This window comes from Homo sapiens, unplaced genomic scaffold (genome assembly GCF_000001405.40).
Source record: "Homo sapiens unplaced genomic scaffold, GRCh38.p14 Primary Assembly HSCHRUN_RANDOM_CTG11".
Classification (NCBI taxonomy): Eukaryota; Metazoa; Chordata; class Mammalia; order Primates; family Hominidae; genus Homo; species Homo sapiens.
Genome location: NT_167214.1, coordinates 119409 through 138316, shown reverse-complemented (window position 1 = coordinate 138316; position 18908 = coordinate 119409). Strand labels below are relative to the sequence as shown.

General features: G+C 52.4%; 1 long non-coding RNA gene across 1 annotated transcript in view; it reads right to left on the bottom strand.

Moving 5' to 3' along the window:
- Window positions 1-11620: 11620 nt before the first annotated feature.
- LOC100507412 (uncharacterized) overlaps window positions 11621-18908 on the bottom strand; it is a 29568-nt gene continuing 22280 nt past the window's right edge. Inside the window, exons 3-7 of the long non-coding RNA NR_038958.1 lie at window positions 16616-16712; window positions 15488-16488; window positions 15235-15326; window positions 13322-13539; window positions 11621-12533 (exon numbers count right to left, since the gene is read on the bottom strand). This is a non-coding gene — a long non-coding RNA (uncharacterized LOC100507412). The remainder of the gene's footprint in view (window positions 12534-13321; window positions 13540-15234; window positions 15327-15487; window positions 16489-16615; window positions 16713-18908) is intronic.

Sequence of the window (18908 nt, the reverse complement as noted above, 5' to 3'; positions counted from 1 at the left end):
AAAAAAAAAAAAAAAAAATGAGCCGGCCATGGTGGCGCTGAGACAGGAGAATCACTTGAACCCAGGAGGCAGAGGTTCCAGTGAGCTGAGATCACGCCACTGCACTCCAGCCTGGGGGACAGAGCAAGACTCCATCTCAGAAACAAACAAACACACAAAGCCAGTCAAGGTGTTTAATTCGACGGTGTCAGGCTCAGGTCTCTTGACAGGATACATCCAGCACCCGGGGGAAACGTCGATGGGTGGGGTGGAATCTATTTTGTGGCCTCAAGGGAGGGTTTGAGAGGTAGTCCCGCAAGCGGTGATGGCCTAAGGAAGCCCCTCCGCCCAAGAAGCGATATTCATTTCTAGCCTGTAGCCACCCAAGAGGGAGAATCGGGCTCGCCACAGACCCCACAACCCCCAACCCACCCCACCCCCACCCCTCCCACCTCGTGAAATGGGCTCTCGCTCCGTCAGGCTCTAGTCACACCGTGTGGTTTTGGAACCTCCAGCGTGTGTGCGTGGGTTGCGTGGTGGGGTGGGGCCGGCTGTGGACAGAGGAGGGGATAAAGCGGCGGTGTCCCGCGGGTGCCCGGGACGTGGGGCGTGGGGCGTGGGTGGGGTGGCCAGAGCCTTGGGAACTCGTCGCCTGTCGGGACGTCTCCCCTCCTGGTCCCCTCTCTGACCTACGCTCCACATCTTCGCCGTTCAGTGGGGACCTTGTGGGTGGAAGTCACCATCCCTTTGGACTTTAGCCGACGAAGGCCGGGCTCCCAAGAGTCTCCCCGGAGGCGGGGCCTTGGGCAGGCTCACAAGGATGCTGACGGTGACGGTTGGTGACGGTGATGTACTTCGGAGGCCTCGGGCCAATGCAGAGGTATCCATTTGACCTCGGTGGGACAGGTCAGCTTTGCGGAGTCCCGTGCGTCCTTCCAGAGACTCATCCAGCGCTAGCAAGCATGGTCCCGAGGATCCCAGCTCCCAGCAGAGGCACTTTTGGTCACACAGGATCCTGGGCAGGAAAGTTCTCAGCAGGCTTAGGCCTCCTAGCCAAAAAGCCAAAACCACTTCTGGGATTTTTTTCAAAGAGCCAGTGGTTCCACAAGGGGCCGTGGGTAGTTGTGGAAATGGAGAGAAGTGTTTGCACGTACATATTTGAGACAGGACGGACAGGGCTCGGTCACAGATCACTTAGGACACGGGCAGATGCACATTGAGAAAACTCTTCCGGCATCCTAGGGGAACAGAGGTACGATTTTTCGAGACAGTCGAGGGAGAAGCCACCCCAGATTTTAGGATTGGATCTTTATTCATATGTAGTTTCTATGAGGTATCCAAGTCCAGAAATCAACTCGCCAGTTCTGTACAGCATTCTGTAGGGAGATCAAATCTGGGATGTCAGAAGTGAAGAATTCAGGCCTTGGTAAGGGATTAGATTAGATGTACTTGAGCTTCTTTTGCAAAAAAAGAGAGGGCGGGAGATAGCGAGAGCCAGAGACCGAGACAGACAGACGGACAGACAGACAGAGAGAGAGAGAGAGAGAGAGAGAGACAGAGAGACAGAGACAGAGACAGACAGAGAGAGACAACGATACACAGAGAGAGAAAGACAGAAAGAGAGAGAGAGACAGATAAAGAGACAGACGGAGAGAGACAGATAAAGAGACAGACGGAGAAAGACAGAGATGGACAGAGACAGAGAGAAACAGAAAGAGAGAGAAACAGACAGGAAGGGAGAGAGACAGGCAGAGAGAGAGAGACAAACAGACAGGCAGACAGACAGGCAGAGAAAGAGAGTAAGACAGAAGGCAGACACACACACACACACACACACACACATACACACACACACACACACACACCCCCACAGAGAGAGAGAGACAGAGAGAGAGACAGAGACAGACAGAGAGACAGAGAGAAAGAGACAGAGAGAGAAAGACAGACAGAGAGAAACAGACAGAAAGAGAGACACAGACAGAGACAGAGAAACAGCCGACGGGGGGAGAGAGAGAGAGAGACAGACAGAGAGAGACAGACAGACAGACAGGCAGAGAAAGACAGTAAGACAGAAGACAGACACACAGAGAGAGAGAGAGAGACAGAGACAGAAAGAAAGACAAAGACAGAGAGAGAGAGAGAGAGAGAGAGAGAGAGAGAAACAGACAGGGGGAGAGAGAGAGAGAGACAGACAGACAGGGAGAGAGAGAGAGAGAGACTAAGACAGAAGACAGACACAGTGAGAGAGACAGAGACAGAGAGAAGGAAAGACAAAGACAGACAGACAAAGAGACAGACAGAGAAAGACAGAGACGGACAGAGAGACAGAGAGAAACAGAAAGAGAGAGAGAGACACACAGAGAGAGAGAGTGAGAGAGACAGGCAGGCAGAGAGAGAGAGTAAGACAGAAGACAGAGTGAGAGAGACAGGCAGAGAGAGACAGAGAGAAGGAAAGAGAGAGACAGTCAGAGAAAGACAGAGACGGAGAGAGAGAAACAGAAAGAGAGAGAGAGACAGAGACAGAGAGAAACATACAGACAGGGAGAGAGAGAGAGAGAGACCGACAGACAGACAGAGAAAGGGAGTAAGACAGAAGACAGACACAGTGAGAGAGACAGGCAGAGAGAGAGAGAGAGAGAGAGAGGCAGAGAGAGAGAAACAGACAGGCAGAGAGAGAGAGACACAGAGAGAGAGAGAGAGAGAAGACAGACAGAGAAAGAGAGAGACAGAGACAGACAGAGAGACAGAGAGAGGGGGAGGAAGGGCGTGCTCAAGAAATAATCACACATATTTTATAATGCTTTTGATCCCATAAACGGTGGCCGGGGTATACTTTGAAAACAACGACAACGACAACAACAACGACAACGACAACAGCAACGACGACAACAACAACAACAACAACAGCAACAAGAGCAGCAGCAGCATTCGCCTACGGATTTCTAGAAAATAAGATGTCATGATGAAGGATAGTAAACATCAACCGGCTCTCACTGCACGTTGAGAGAGTCACAAAAGCGCTAGTTCACAACAGGAAAAAACGGCAGCTAACGTGTCTTGGGGAAAATAGACGTCTTCCTGAAAACTGGGGATTTCTACTTCACCTGAAAAGAAAGACATACGAGAAAGGAAAAACACGAACAAAACAAAACAGAACGAAACAAAACAAGCCAACAAACACGGGCCAAGGCGCCGTCCCTGGAAATCTTAAGTGAGCAAAGTTATTAGTTTTCAGAAAGCGTTTCTATTTTGGGCAAGTACTGAGAAGGCCCAGACTAGAGCCGTGGCGCCCTTCGCATTGTGAAACTCTGCTGGCCGGAGGGCGGAGAAACTAAAACATCGTGATAAAAGGTGACCGAGACCCAGCCAGGGTGAAGCTTTCCTAGGGAGGGAGGCCTGAGGCGGGAAGCAGCGGGGGGAAAAGCCTCACAACTGCAGACCCGCCCGCTTGCCCACGCGGGTCAAGGGGCTATGCCATCGGCCCAAGCTGCCTCCGGGGAAGTGGGACCGTGCCGCCCCCATCTTCAAAAACGGTGGCCCCCGAGTGAGGCCTGACGCCCACCGATGCAAATGTCAGCCTGGCAAGAATGAGATCGCCGGCAAGGGGTGGGGGAAGGGGAGAGAAGACGGAGGCACACCGGGGTGGCTCTGGAAGGTTTCCAAGCAGGGTGTTGGGAGGCGGGGGGGGGGGGGCGGTTTGGGGGAAACCCACCTAACCGACTCACTAAATTAAGGTGAAGGGACGTGGGTAGTGGGGGGAGCCGGGGGGCAACTTGAAAATTAAACTGACCCTTCCCAAAGCCCAAGTAGAAGAGTCTAGGCGCCAAAACACAAAGAAAAGTAAAGCGCCGATCAAAGAACAATAGGGCCCCCGCCAGGGCGGAGGTTCCCTAGGCGAGGTTCCCTAGGCAACGAGGGAGAGAGGGAGGGGCCTCCAGAAGGGAGAGAGAGAAACCCGTTGCCCCAGGCTCGGTGAAGTCGGCGAGACCTCCCTCCGTGTCACGTCGACTTTCAATAACAGTGGCCGCTAGGTGATGCCCGAAGACAACCGATGCCTGCCTGCAAATGTCCGTCAGCAGGGAAAAGAATTAATGAATTAATTAATTTCCGTATTTATTTAGAGACCGAGTCTCACTCACTCTACAGCCTGGGCCGTAGTGCAGTGGCGCGATCTCGGCTCCCTGCAGCCTCCGCTTCCCTGGTTCAAGCGATTCTCCCGCCTCAGCCTCCCGAGGAGCTGGCATTACAGGGGCCTGCCCCACCGCTCCCGACTCAGCTTTGTATTTTTAGTAGAGACGGGGTTTCGCCGTGTTGCGTCCGGCCTTAACAGTTTATGTTGAAGTCGAGGAGCTTATCGGGGAAATAGGAGAAGTACGGACGCCACACGTGACCGAGAGAAAAGTCTGAAAATGCCCCTCGCATCCAAGCGGGGACCCGGCCTCGACCTCCCGAAATCGTACACCGAGTGGGGAAGCCCAGCAAGGCCCGCCTGTCTAGATTCCTCTCGGCCTCTCTAAGCACCGAAGCACGCGCTTCTCACTCTCGTGGAAGGGGCAGGGCCCTACCCGGCACGGGGGTGTCTGACAGACTGACAGAGAAAGAGACAGACATAGAAAGACAGAGATGGACAGCGAGAGATAGAGAGAAACAGACAGAAAGAGAAAGAGAGAGAGACAGAGACAGAGACAGAGAGAGAGAGACAGACAGACAGACAGGGAGGGAGAAAGACAAACAGAGAGAGAGAGAGAGAGAGAGAGAGAGAGAGAGACAGACAGACAGACAGACAGACAGAGAAACAGACAGAAAGAGAGAGAGAGACGGAGAGAGAGTGAGTGAGAGGGAGAGAGAGAGACATGGAGGGAGAGAGACAGACAGAGAGAGAAACAGACAGAAAGAGAGAGAGAGACGGAGAGAGAGTGAGTGAGAGAGAGAGAGAGAGACATGGAGGGAGAGAGACAGACAGAGAGAGAAACAGACAGAAAGAGAGAGAGACGGAGAGAGAGTGAGTGAGAGAGAGAGAGAGACATGGAGGGAGAGAGACAGACAGACAGAGAGGCAGGCAGAGAAAGAGAGTAAGACAGAAGACAGACACAGTGAGAGAGACAGGCAGAGAGAGAGAGAGACAGAGACAGAGAGAGAGAAAGAGAAAGAGACAGACAGAGATGGACAGAGAGACAGAGACAGAGAGAGAAACAGACAGACAGGGAGGGAGGGACGGAGACAGGCAGAGAGAGAGAGACAGGCAGACAGCCAGAGAAAGAGAGTAAGACAGAAGATAGGCACAGAAAGAGAGACAGACACAGAGAGAGACAGAGAGACAGAGAAAAAGAAAGAGAGAGACAGACAGACAGAGAAAGAGACAGACAGAGAGAGAAAGAGAGAAACAGACAGAAAGAGAGAGAGAGAGAAACAGAAAGGGAGGGAGAGAGAGGGAGAGACAGACAGACAGACGGACAGGCAGAGAAGGAGAGTAAGACAGAAGACAGACACACACAGTGAGAGAGACAGACAGAGAGAGAGAGAGAGAGAGAGAGAGAGAGAGAGAGAGGCAGAGACAGAGACAGAGAGAAAGAGAGAGACAGACATAGAAAGACAGAGATGGACAGAGAGACAGAGAGAAACACCCAGAAAGAGAGAGAGAGACAGAGAAAGAGAAAGGGAGGGAGAGAGAGAGAGAGAGAGAGAGAGAGAGACAGACACACAGACAGGCAGGCAGGCAAGGAAACAGAGTAAGACAGAAGATAGGAACAGAGAGAGAGAGAGAGAGACAGAGAGACGCAGAAAAAGAAAGAGAGAGGCAGACAGACAGAGAAAGACAGAGACAGACAGAGAGAAACAGGCAGAAAGAGAGAGAGAGAGAGAAAAACAGACAGGAAAGGAGAGAGAGAGAGAGACAGAGAGAGAAAGAGAATAAGACAGAAGACAGACACAGTGAGAGAGGCAGAGAGAGAGAGAGAGAGAGAGAGACAGAGACAGAGACAGAGAGAAAGAGACAGACAGACAGAGAAAGAGACAGACAGAGAAAGACAGAGAGAGAAAGAGAGAAACAGGCAGAGAGAGAGAGAGCTAGCGAGAGAGAAACAGAAAGGTAGGGAGAGAGAGAGAGAGACAGACAGACAGATGGACAGGCAGAGAAGGAGAGTAAGACAGAAGACAGACACAGTGAGAGAGACAAGGAGAGAGAGAGAGAGAGAGACAGAGACAGAGACAGAGACAGACGACAGAAAGAAAGAGAGAGACAGACAGACAGAAAAAGACAGAGACGGACAGAGAGAGACAGAGAAACAGAGAGAAAGAGAGAAAGACAGAGAGAGCGAGAGAGGGAGAGAGAGAGAAACAGAAAGGCAGGGAGAGAGACAGAGAGAGACAGACAGATAGACAGGCAGAGAAAGAGAGTAAGACAGAAGATAGGCACAGAGAGAGAGACAGAGAGACACAGAAAGAGAAAGAGAGAGGCAGACAGACAGAGAAAGGGACAGACAGAGAAAGACAGAGACAGAGAGAGAGAGAGAGAGAGAGAGAGAGAAACAGACAGAAAGAGAGAGGGACAGGGAGAGAGAGAGACAGACAGACAGACGGACAGGCAGAGAAGGAGAGTAAGACAAAAGATACACACAGAGAGGGAGAGACAGAGAGAGAGAGAGACAGAGACAGAGACAGAGAGAATGAAACAGACAGACAGAGAGAGACAGTGAGAAACAGACAGAAAGAGAGGGAGACAGAGAGAAACAGACAGGGAGGGGGGAGAGAGAGAGAGAGAGAGAGAAGCAGAAAGGGAGGGAGAGACAGAGAGAGACAGACAGACAGGCAGAGAAAGAGAGTAAGACAGAAGATAGGCACAGAGAGAGAGAGAGACAGACAGAGAGACACAGAAAAAGAAAGAGAGGGGCAGACAGACAGAGAAAGAGACAGATAGAGAAAGAGAGAGGCAGACAGAGAGAGACAGAAACAGACAGAAAGAGAGAGAGAGAGAAACAGACAGGGAGGGAGTGAGAGAGAGACAGACGGGGAGAGAAAGAGAGTAAGATAGAAGACAGACACAGTGAGACAGGCAGAGAGGGAGAGAGAGGGACAAAGACAGAGACAGAAAGAAAGAAAGAGACAGACAGACAGACAGACAGACAGAGAAAGAGACACAGAGAGAAAGACAGAGACGAACAGAGAGAAACAGACAGAGAGAAGGCCCTAGCCCAGTAGCAATACAGTGCCTTTTCTTTCATTTTCTCTTTCTTTTCTTTTCTTTTTTTCTTTCTTGTATATCTGTATGTATGTATGTATGTATGTATGTATGTATGTATGTATGTGTGTATTTATTTATGTACGTATTTATCTGGAGACCGGGTCTCACTCTGTCGCCCAGGCTGTAGTGCAGTGGTGCGATCTTGGGTCACTGCAGCCTCCGCCTGCCAGGTTCAAGCAATTCTTCCACCCCAGCCTCCCGAGTAGCTGGGGTTACAGGTGCCTGCCCCACGGCGCCTGACTCCATTTCGTATTTTCAGTAGAGACGGGGGTTTCACCACGTTGGCCGGGCTGGTCTCGAACTCCTGACCTCGGGATGACAGACGTGAGCCACTGCGTTCAGTGTACAGTACCATTTCTTAGAAATCACTCCTCACGGGAACACACACTTATGGGTGACGTGTAGAGATTTTAGTTAGTTAGTTAGTTAGTTAGTTATTATGTGCGCGGGGAGGTGGGGGGACGGAGTTTGGCTCTTGCTGCCCAGGCTACAGTGCAATGGCCTAGGGGACTCAAGGAGTCAACCTATGGCAGAGAGGACACGTCATTCTGAGCGTAAGGGCCGCAGCGAAAGGTGGCAGGGCCCGCGCTTTTAAAGGCTGAAATCCCGGCGGCTCAGGCCTGTCGTTTCCAGCACTTTGGGAGGCCCAGGAAGGTGGATCATTTGTGGTCAGGAGTTCGAGACCAGCGTGGCCAACGTGGAGAAACCCCGTCTCTACTAAAAATAGAACGATGAGCCGGCCGTCATGGTGCGCACCTGTAATCCCAGCTACCGAAGAAGAATCACTGGAACCCGGGAAGCAGAGGTTTCAGTGAGCCGAGAGAGCGCCACCGCACCGCAGCCTGGGTGACAGAGCGAGAGAGACTCAGTCCAAAAAAAAAGAAAGAAAAGAAGAAGAAGAAAAAAAGAACGGGCCCAAATACTGCATTGTCGCTGAACGTTCTCCCAAAAGGCCAGAAACCCCCTGACTCAGGTCAAGGAGGTGGTGGTTGGTTTTACTTCTCTTTCTCTCTCTCTCTCTCTCTCTCTCTCTCTCTCTCTCTCTCTCTCTCTCCCCCCCCCTCTCCCCCCTCTCTCCCCGTCTCTCTCTCTCTCTCCTCTCTTCTCCCCCCCGAACTTTTATTTGTCGTTCAAGCATACATGAGCAAGACTGTGACATAGGTAAACTTGTGACGGGGGTGTTCAGTGTGCAGATGATTTCATCACCCGGGTAGTCAGTGCTGTGTCCGACAGTATTCGTGTTTTGTTTTCTTCCTGAAGCTGTCTCTCCTTCCACCCCTCCTCCCTCAAGCAGGCTTCCGCGTCCCCGGTCCCCCTCGTTCTGCCCATGCAAGAACTGTCATCTGTAAGTTCCCACTTCTAGATGAGAACACGCGGTATTTAGCCGATCTTTGCTTTCATCTTCGGTGGTGGCGGTGAAAGAGGCATGACACTAAATCGACCCTTAGGACGCCGTTTATGTTGAAGTCGAGGAGCTTATCGGGGAAATAGGAGAAGTACGGACGCCACACGTGACCGAGAGAAAAGTCTGAAAATGCCCCTCGCATCCAAGCGGGGACCCGGCCTCGACCTCCCGAAATCATACACCGAGTGGGGAAGCCCAGCAAGGCCCGCCTGTCTAGATTCCTCTCGGCCTCTCTAAGCACCGAAGCACGCGCTTCTCACTTTCGTGGAAGGGGCAGGGCCCTACCCGGCACGGGGGTGTCTGACAGACTGACAGAGAAAGAGACAGACATAGAAAGACAGAGATGGACAGCGAGAGATAGAGAGAAACAGACAGACAGGGAGAGAGAGAGAGAGAGAGAGAGAGAGAGAAACAGACAGGGAGGGAGAAAGACAAATAGAGAGAGAGACAGACAGACACACAGAAAGACAGAGACAGAGAGAAACAGACAGAAAGAGAGAGAGACGGAGAGACAGTGAGTGAGAGAGAGAGAGAGAGAGACATGGAGGGAGAGAGACAGACAGACAGACAGAGAGGCAGGCAGAGAAAGAGAGTAAGACAGAAGACCGACACAGTGAGAGAGAAAGGCAGAGAGAGAGAGAGAGAGAGAGAGAGAGAGAGAGAGAGAGAGAGACAGAGAGAGACAGAGAGAGACAGAGAGAAAGAAAGAGAGAGAAAGAGAAAGAGACAGACAGAAATGGACAGAGAGAGAAACAGACAGACAGGGAGGGAGGGACGGAGACAGGCAGAGAGAGAGAGAGAGAGAGAGAGAGAGAGAGACAGGCAGTCAGCCAGAGAAAGAGAGTAAGACAGAAGATAGGCACAGACAGAGAGACAGGCACAGAGAGAGACAGAGAGACAGAGAAAAAGAAAGAGAGAGACAGACAGACAGAGAAAGAGACAGACAGAGAGAGAAAGAGAGAAACAGACAGAAAGAGAGAGAGAGAGAGAGAGAAACAGAAAGGGAGGGAGAGAGAGGGAGAGACAGACAGACAGACGGACAGGCAGAGAAGGAGAGTAAGACAGAAGACAGACACACACAGTGAGAGAGACAGACAGAGAGAGAGAGAGAGAGAGAGGCAGAGACAGAGACACACACACAGTGAGAGAGACAGACAGAGAGAGAGAGAGAGAGGCAGAGACAGAGACAGGGAGAAAGAGAGAGACAGACAGAGAAAGACAGAGATGGACAGAGAGACAGAGAGAAACAGATAGAAAGAGAGAGACAGAGAGAGAGAGAGGCAGAGGCAGAGACAGAGACAGGGAGAAAGAGAGAGACGGACAGAGAAAGACAGAGATGGACAGAGAGACAGAGAGAAACAGACAGAAAGAGAGAGAGACAGAGAGAGAGAGAGACAGACAGACAGACAGGCAGGCAGAGAAACAGAGTAAGACAGAAGATAGGCACAGAGAGAGAGAGACAGAGAGACGCAGAAAAAGAAAGAGAGAGGCAGACAGAGAAAGACGGAGACAGGCAGAGAGAAACAGACAGAAAGAGAGAGAGAGAGAGAGAGAAAGAGACAGGAAGGGAGAGAGAGAGACAGACAGACAGAGAAAGAGAATAAGACAGAAGACAGACACAGTGAGACAGGCAGAGAGAGAGAGACAGAGAGAGAGAGACAGAGACGGAGACAGAGAGAAGGAGACAGACAGACAGAGAAAGAGACAGACAGAGAAAGACAGAGACAGACAGAGAGAGAAAGAGAAACAGGCAGAGAGAGAGAGAGAGAGAGAGAGAGAGCGAGAGAGAAACAGAAAGGGAGGGAGAGAGAGAGAGACAGACAGACAGACGGACAGGCAGAGAAGGAGAGTAAGACAGAGGACAGACACAGTGAGAGAGACAAGCAGAGAGAGAGAGAGAGACAGAGACAGAGACAGACAGAAAGAAAGAGAGAGACAGACAGAAAAAGACAGAGACGGACAGAGAGAGACAGAGAAACAGAGAGAAAGAGAGAAAGACAGAGAGAGCGAGAGAGGGAGAGAGAGAGGGAGAGAGAGAGAGAAACAGAAAGGCAGGGAGAGAGACAGAGAGAGACAGACAGACAGACAGGCAGGCAGGCAGAGAAAGAGAGTAAGACAGAAGATAGGCACAGAGAGAGAGACAGAGAGACACAGAAAGAGAAAGAAAGAGAGAGGCAGACAGACAGAGAAAGACAGAGACAGAGAGAGAGAGAGGAACAGACAGAAAGAGAGAGGGACAGAGAGAGAGAGAGACAGAAAGGGAGAGAGAGACAGACAGACAGACAGACAGACGGACAGGCAGAGAAGGAGAGTAAGACAGAAGATACACACAGAGAGTGAGAGACAGAAAGAGAGAGAGAGAGAGAGAGAGAGAGAGAGACAGACAGACAGAGAGAACGAAAGAGACAGACAGAGAGAGAGAGAGATGGACAGAGAGAGACAGTGAGAAACAGACAGAAAGAGAGAGAGACGGAGAGAAACAGACAGGGAGAGGGGGAGAGAGAGAGAGAGAGAGAGAGAAACAGAAAGGGAGGGAGAGACAGACAGACAGGCAGAGAAAGAGAGTAAGACAGAAGATAGGCACAGAGAGAGAGAGAGAGAGACAGACAGACAGACAGAGAGAGAGAGACCGACAGAGAGACACAGAAAAAGAAAGAGAGAGGCAGACAGACAGAGAAAGAGACAGACAGAGAAAGACATAGACAGACAGAGAGAGACAGAAACAGACAGAAAGAGAGAGAGAGAAACAGACAGGGAGGGAGAGAGAGAAACAAACAGGGAGGGAGAGAGAGAGAGAGAGACAGACGGGGAGAGAAAGAGAGTAAGACAGAAGACAGACACAGTGAGACAGGCAGAGAGGGAGAGAGAGAGACAAAGACAGAGACAGAGACAGAGAGAAAGAAAGAGACAGACAGACAGAGAAAGAGACACAGAGAGAAAGACAGAGACGAACAGAGAGAAACAGACAGAGAGAAGGCCCTAGCCCAGTAGCAATACAGTGCCTTTTCTTTCATTTTCTCTTTCTTTTCTTTTCTTTTTTTCTTTCTTGTATATCTGTATGCATGGATGTATGTATGTATGTATGTATGTATGTATGTATGTATGTATGTGTGTATTTATTTATGTACGTATTTATCTGGAGACCGGGTCTCACTCTGTCGCCCAGGCTGTAGTGCAGTGGTGCGATCTTGGGTCACTGCAGCCTCCGCCTGCCAGGTTCAAGCAATTCTTCCACCCCAGCCTCCCGAGTAGCTGGGGTTACAGGTGCCTGCCCCACGGCGCCTGACTCCATTTCGTATTTTCAGTAGAGACGGGGGTTTCACCACGTTGGCCGGGCTGGTCTCGAACTCCTGACCTCGGGATGACAGACGTGAGCCACTGCGTTCAGTGTACAGTGCCATTTCTTAGAAATCACTCCTCACGGGAACACACACTTAGAGGTGACGTGTAGAGATTTTATTTATTTAGTTAGTTTAGTTAGTTAGTTAGTTTGTTAGTTAGTTATTATGTGCGCGGGGAGGTGGGGGGACGGAGTTTGGCTCTTGCTGCCCAGGCTACAGTGCAATGGCCTAGGGGACTCAAGGAGTCAACCTACGGCAGAGAGGACACGTCATTCTGAGCGTAAGGGCCACAGCGAAAGGTGGCAGGGCCCGCGCTTTTAAAGGCTGAAATCCCGGCGGCTCAGGCCTGTCGTTTCCAGCACTTTGGGAGGCCCAGGAAGGCGGATCATTTGAGGTCAGGAGTTCGAGACCAGCGTGGCCAACGTGGAGAAACCCCGTCTCTACTGAAAATAGGAATATGAGCCGGCCGTCATGGTGTGCGCCTGTAATCCCAGCTACCGAAGAAGAATCACTGGAACCCGGGAAGCAGAGGTTTCAGTGAGCCGAGAGAGCGCCACCGCACCGCAGCCTGGGTGACAGAGCGAGAGAGACTCAGTCCAAAAAAAAAGAAAGAAAAGAAGAAGAAAAAAAAAGAACGGGCCCAAATACTGCATTGTCGCTGAACGTTCTCCCAAAAGGCCAGAAACCCCCTGACTCAGGTCAAGGAGGTGGTGTTTCGTTTTCTCTCTCCCTCCTCTCTCTCTCTCTCTGTCTCTCTCTGTCTCTCTCTCTCTCTCTCTCTCCTCTCTTCTCCCCCCTAACTTTTATTTGTCGTTCAAGCATACATGTGCAAGATTGTGACATAGGTAAACTTGTGACGGGGGTGTTCAGTGTGCAGATGATTTCATCACCCGGGTAGTCAGTGCTGTGTCCGACAGTATTCGTGTTTTGTTTTCTTCCTGAAGCTGTCTCTCCTTCCACCCCTCCTCCCTCAAGCAGACTTCCGCGTCCCCGGTCCCCCTCGTTCTGCCCATGCAAGAACTGTCATCTGTAAGTTCCCACTTCTAGATGAGAACACGCGGTATTTAGCCGATCCTTGCTGTCATCTTCGGTGGTGGTGGTGGTGGTGAAAGAGGCATGACACTAAATCGACCCTTAGGACGCTCCCCTCCGTCCCCACCCCGCACCCCCTCCCCACACACACCCTCATTCCCGCACCCCCTCCTCAAACGCAAGAAAGGAAGAAATGAAAGTAAGAGGTGAGCCTGCAAGGCGGTGGAGGCGGGGGATCTCAGAGGGCGAGCAAGCGATGGCGGTCGGGGGATGTGTCGGCTGAGGTATCAAAAATAGGGGACCCAGTTTTCAGCCCCAACACACCCCCTAATCCTCAGCCGCAGCCAGCCTCTGGGTGGGGTTGCGCCTGTCAAAGCTTCCGAATGGAGAGAAGCCCAAGGCTACGGAAGGCATCAGCTCCAACTCCAGGAAGGGAATAAGGCTCTGTGCATACGAATGGGGCTTTGAAAGGCGTTGCCGCGGCTTCCAAAGCGATGCGCTGTGCCTCGCCTCGCCTCGCCCCGCCCAGAGCGAGACTCCGTCTGAAAATAAGTACACAAATAAATCATAAGATAATTCATCAAGAAAGAAAGAAAGAAAGAAAGAAAGAAAGAAAGAAAGAAAGGATCAGTAGAGCGATGGTGGTCGTGAGTCATTCCCCGGAGTCCAGGCGCAGTGGCTCACGCCCGTCACGCCAGCACTTTGAGACGCCGGGCAGGAGGGTTGCAAAGAAATGATGAGACCCCGTCTGTGGGAAAACATTTAAAAATGAAGGCCGGGCGCGGTGGCTCACGCCTGTCATCCCAGCACTTCCGGAGGCCGGGGAGGGCGGATCACCTGAGGTCGGGAGTTCGAAACCAGCCCGATCGACATGGAGAAGCCCCGTCTCCACTAAAAATACGAAATCAGCCAGACGTGGCAGCGCATGCCCGCAATCCCGGCTACTCAGGAGGCCGATGCAGGAGAATCGCTTGAAACCGGGAGGCAGAGGTTGCGGTGAGCCAAGATCGCGCCACCGCACTGCAGTCTAGGCCACGAGAGTGAAACTCTGTCTCGGGGGAAAAAAAAACAATTAAAAACGGTGTGGGCACAGTGGCGCGTGCCCGCGGTCCCAGGCTCTGTACTCTGGAGGCTGAGGTGGAAGGATCGCTCGAGTCCAGGAGCGTCCACGCTGCAGGGAGTGAGTTACGACGGCACCACTGCCGGGGTGACGGAGCGAGATGCCGTCTCTAAATCAGTCAATGAGATCACTGGAAGGCGCTCTCTGCGTCTCACTTTCCAAGAGGGTCTCTTTGGGCCAAGCAGGCATGGTGCCTCCCGCCAGTCATCCCAGCACTTTGGGAGGCTGAGGCGGGAGGAAAGAAGGAAGGGAGGAAGGGAGGAAAGAAGAAAAGAAGAAAGGCAGGAAGGCAGGAAAGAAAGAGGGGAAGAGAGAAAAAGAAAAAGAAAGAAAGAAAGAAAGAAAGAAAGAAAGAAAAGAGAAGCAAAAAGAAGAAAAGAGAAGGGAAGAAAAGAAAAGCAAACGGGGAAGGGGCATATCTCCTTGACCGGTGACTGCCCAGGATACAGTGGGTCACGGCCGACCGAAGCCTCGACCTGTGGGGCCTCAAGTGATCTTCTCCTCGTCTCAGCCTCCCGAGTAGCCGCGACTACAGGCGGCCATCACCGCGCACAACTCATCTTATAATAACATCATGATTCTCTCGAGACGGGGTCTCGCTCCGTCATCCAGGCCGCATCGCCACGGCACGATCTCAGCTCATCGCAACCTCGGCCTCCCCGGTTGGAACAAGTCGCCCGCCCCAGTCTCCCGAGCGGTCGTGATTCCAAGCCCACGCCACCAGGCCCGGCTAATCGTTCTATTTTTCAGAGAGACGGGGTTTCGCCACGTCGGCCAGCCTGGTCTCGAACTCCCGGCCCCAAGCGATCCACCCGCCTCGGCCTCCCAAAGTGCCGGAGTGACAGGCGTGAGCTAGCGTGCCCGGCCCAGATCATCTTTTTCATCAATTGTAGAGAAGGGGTTTCGTCAGCCAACGGGTGGAGGGTGGGGCGGGTTTTACTCAGCCTGCGTACTGTGAAAAGGGGAAGTGAGTGTGCTCTGTGAACTAGATATGGAAATTGTGTGTGTGTGTGCGCGCGTGCGCGTGCGAGAGAGAGAGAGAGAGAGAGAGAGAGAGAGACCAATCCCACCACGAGGACCCGGAAATAGTGTTTGATCTGTGTCCCTGCCTAGTCACCTGTCTTGTGTGTCGATGACTGAGGATTCCACAAATGAAGGTCAGCGGTATCTATTGAGCTGTTTCTCCCTCTCGTGCGTCTCATCTGTGTGCTGGAGAAAGGGAAGAGAAGAGGTTCCGATGGGAAGTTGTCTTCACGCCTGAGGCAGCTGAAGGCAGACCGAAGGGAAGGAGGGCATCCTAGGTGACATTTCCATACCCACGCACCCTTTACAATGCTGGGGCTGCCAGTCCACCCTGTACGTCAACCCACCCCCAAGAACAGCACGGTCCGGGGTGGTCCAGTCTGATCCCAACCGGCCCACCCGGGGCATCCGGTGGAAGTCTTCGCCGGAGGATCCGAAGGCAGCATCAACGCGGTTCCCCTGGGGTCGCCCGGCAAAGGCCAGCCGGGGGAGGGTAGCGGGACGTGACGGGGGGGTGGGGGTCGCATCCGCCTCAGAGCTCCCTGGAAGGTGGCAGGTAGCCGGTGGGGCACGCCGAGCCAGAGACGTCCGGCAGGATATAGATCTGGAAGGCGTGTCAGTCCTCTCCCATACCTCTCCTATGGAAAATGCCAGGGCGGCGGTGGGAGCCTCGGCTGGGGGAGAAGCGGGGACAAGGGGGAGAGGGAAGGAGGCCCTCGGGAGGTTTCGGCACCGAAAACCCACTCAGCCAAGCTCCCTCCGTGTTTCCGGGTCCAAGGTACACCCCGGGAGACGGCAAGAGAAACGTTCACACCGTGCTTTCCGTCTTCGTGTTTATTTCTTTCATCTTTTCCATTTTACGAGAGATGCTCATTTCAACAACCAGACGGCGGATGTGACGGGAGAAGCGTCAAGGCCAGGAGTTTGAGACCAGCGTGAGCAACAGAGCAACACACGTAGGAGAGCCCAGCTGAAAGAAATGAAAGAGGAGGAGGAGGAGGAGGAGGAGGAGGAGGAGGAGGAGGAGGAGGAGGACGACGACAAGGGGGGGTGGGGGGGGAGGAGAAGGAAAGAAAAGAAAAGAAAAAAAAGAAAAAGGAAAACAACCACCACCAAGAAAGTTAAGATTCTCCAACGGTCGGAAGTTGAAGACCAGCCTGACCAAGATGGAGAAACCCCATCTGTAGTAAAAATAGAAAAATTAGCCGGGCACGATGGCTCATCTCTGTCATTCCAGCTACTCGGGAAGGCTGAGGCAGGAGAATCACTTGAACCTGGGAGGCGGAGGGTGCGGTGAGCCGAGAGCCGCCATCGTACTCCACCCTGGGCGACAAGAGTGAAACTCCGTCTAAAGAGAATAAAAAGAAAGAACGAAAAGGCGGATCGGTGAGATGCGTCTGGAAATTTTCTTCGTTCGCAGTCCCCGTATTAAAAACGGAAAGAACCGACCCACGACAAACACGACCAGAGCGTACCGTGCCCACGCGTGTCATCACAGCACTCCGGGAGGCCGATGCGGGAGGATCTCTGGAGCCTAAAAGTTCGAGATCACCTCGACACGTGAGATGACGCCTACAATAATAATAATCATAGAAGTTTGAAAAGAGACCACGTGTGCCCAGAGCATGGACAATAAAGCGAGAGCACATCCGTACTAAAAAGAAGACGATTGATAGGCAGGCAGGCAGGCAGGCAGGCAGGCAGGCAGGCAGGCAGGCAGGCAAATGTAGAAGGAGCCAGGCGCAGCGTCTCACGCCTGTAATAGCAGCAGTGTGGGCGGCCGAGGCAGGCAGGCGGATTGCTTGAGGACAGGAGTTCGAGACCAGCGTGGGCAACATGATAGAACCCCGAAACCCATCTCACTCACATACATACATACATACATAGATACACACACACACACACACACACACACACACACACACACACACACACACATACCTACCTACGGAAAACATGAGAAACAACATAAAAGTCAGCCGGTGTGGTGGTGCGCGCCTGTAGTCTCAGGTAATGGGGATGGGAGGGATCAGAGGCAGAACGACCGTTTGGTCGGTCCAAAGCGTTGAGGTTGGGGTGATCCTGGGCGGCAGAGACAGAGGAAGACCCTGCCAGTAAGGGAGGGAAGGAAGGAAGGAAGGAGGGAAGGAAGGAAGGAAGGAAGGAAGGAAGGAAGGAAATAAACAGGCAAGCAGGCAAGCAAACGATGAACGTGACAATGACACAGAAGAACCCATGAGAATAAACGAGCAAATAACAGGGTATGAATGAAGCTAAAAGGCAATTGAGATCGCAATCAATCGTTTTCTCTGCACCCCACCCCACCCCACCCCACCCCACCCCACCCCACCGCAGCCCACGTAAGCTGGAGTGGAAGTGTGCGATCACAGCCCACGTTAACCTCTCCCTCCCGGGCTTAAGAGATCCCTGTAGTCCCAGCTATTTGGGAGGCTGAGGTCACCAGAGCGCAGAGACAGAAGACCAGGCGGGCCGGCCCCAAAAGAAAAGAAAATAAATAAACGAAAATTATTAATAAATAATGAATGAAGGAAGGGAGGAAGGATATACATACACGTGTATGTAAATGAAATGGGGCTTCGATACATATTCATCCATTAAAAGTAACATAATATAAACGTATTAATTATGGAAATATCATTTACATAGTTTTATCACTACGGGGGGTGTGTGTGTGTGTGTGTGTGTGTGTGTGTGTGTGTGTGTGTGTGTGTGTATGTGTAGATGTATGTTCATACACGGCAGCGTTCAGAAAATAAGATTGAAAAAAGGAAGGAATCGGCCGGGCATGGTGGCTCACATCTGTACTCCCAGCAGTCTTTGGGAGGCCGAGGCGGGCGGATCACTAGGTCGGGAGTTCGAGACCAGCCCGGCCAAAATGGTGAAATTACGTCTTTACTCGAAATAGAAAACTTGCTGTTTGCTTGAACCGTGGAGGCAGAGGCAGCAGCAGCAGCGAGCCGAGAAGGCACCAAGGAGGGAGGGAGGGGAGAGAGACAGAGAGAGAGAGAGAGAGAGAGAAAGAAAGAAAGAAAGAAAGAAAGAAAGAAAGAAAGAAAGAAAGAAAGAAAACGCAAGGCAAAACCAAAAAGCAAAAAAGGAGGAAGCATTACTGGCTGACGGCAGCAGTGACTCCCTCTTAAAAGTCCCGCGGACGCAAACTCGCAGTGGGGCTGAAAAAAATGTAGGAGAGGGAGTTCCGCGTGGTCCCAGCTCCACCGCGGGCCGAGGCCGGTGGAGGTCGCCGGCGCGTGAACCGGAATCGACGCCCTCGCGTCAGTGCGCCGCAGCGTCCGGCGGCCGCCTGCTGGTCGACCCGGGACACGTGCAGACGCCAGCTAAGTCCGGAGCTCGCGGGCGGCAGCTGGTCGACCCCGGAGGTGCCGACCGAGACGGGGACGCGGCGGGTCCGGCTCGTCCCGACGGGCACTCTTACACGCCGCTCGGTGGAGAAGGCCCGCCGGTCGACCCGGGACACGGCGAGACAGCGGCTAAGTGTCAAGAGCCGAGAAGGCACCAAGGAAGGGGAGAGAGGGAGGGAGGGGGAGGGAGAGAGAGAGAGAGAGAGAGAGAGAGAGAGACAGAGAGAGACAGAGAGAAAGAGAGAGAGAGAGAGGGCGAGAGCGAGAGACAGAGAGAGAGAGAGAGAGAGAGAGAGAGAGAGAAAGAGAAAGAGAAAGAAAACGAGCGAGGGAGAGAGCGAGAGAGCGAGAGCGAGAAAGAAAGAAAGAAAGAAAGAAAGAAAGAAAG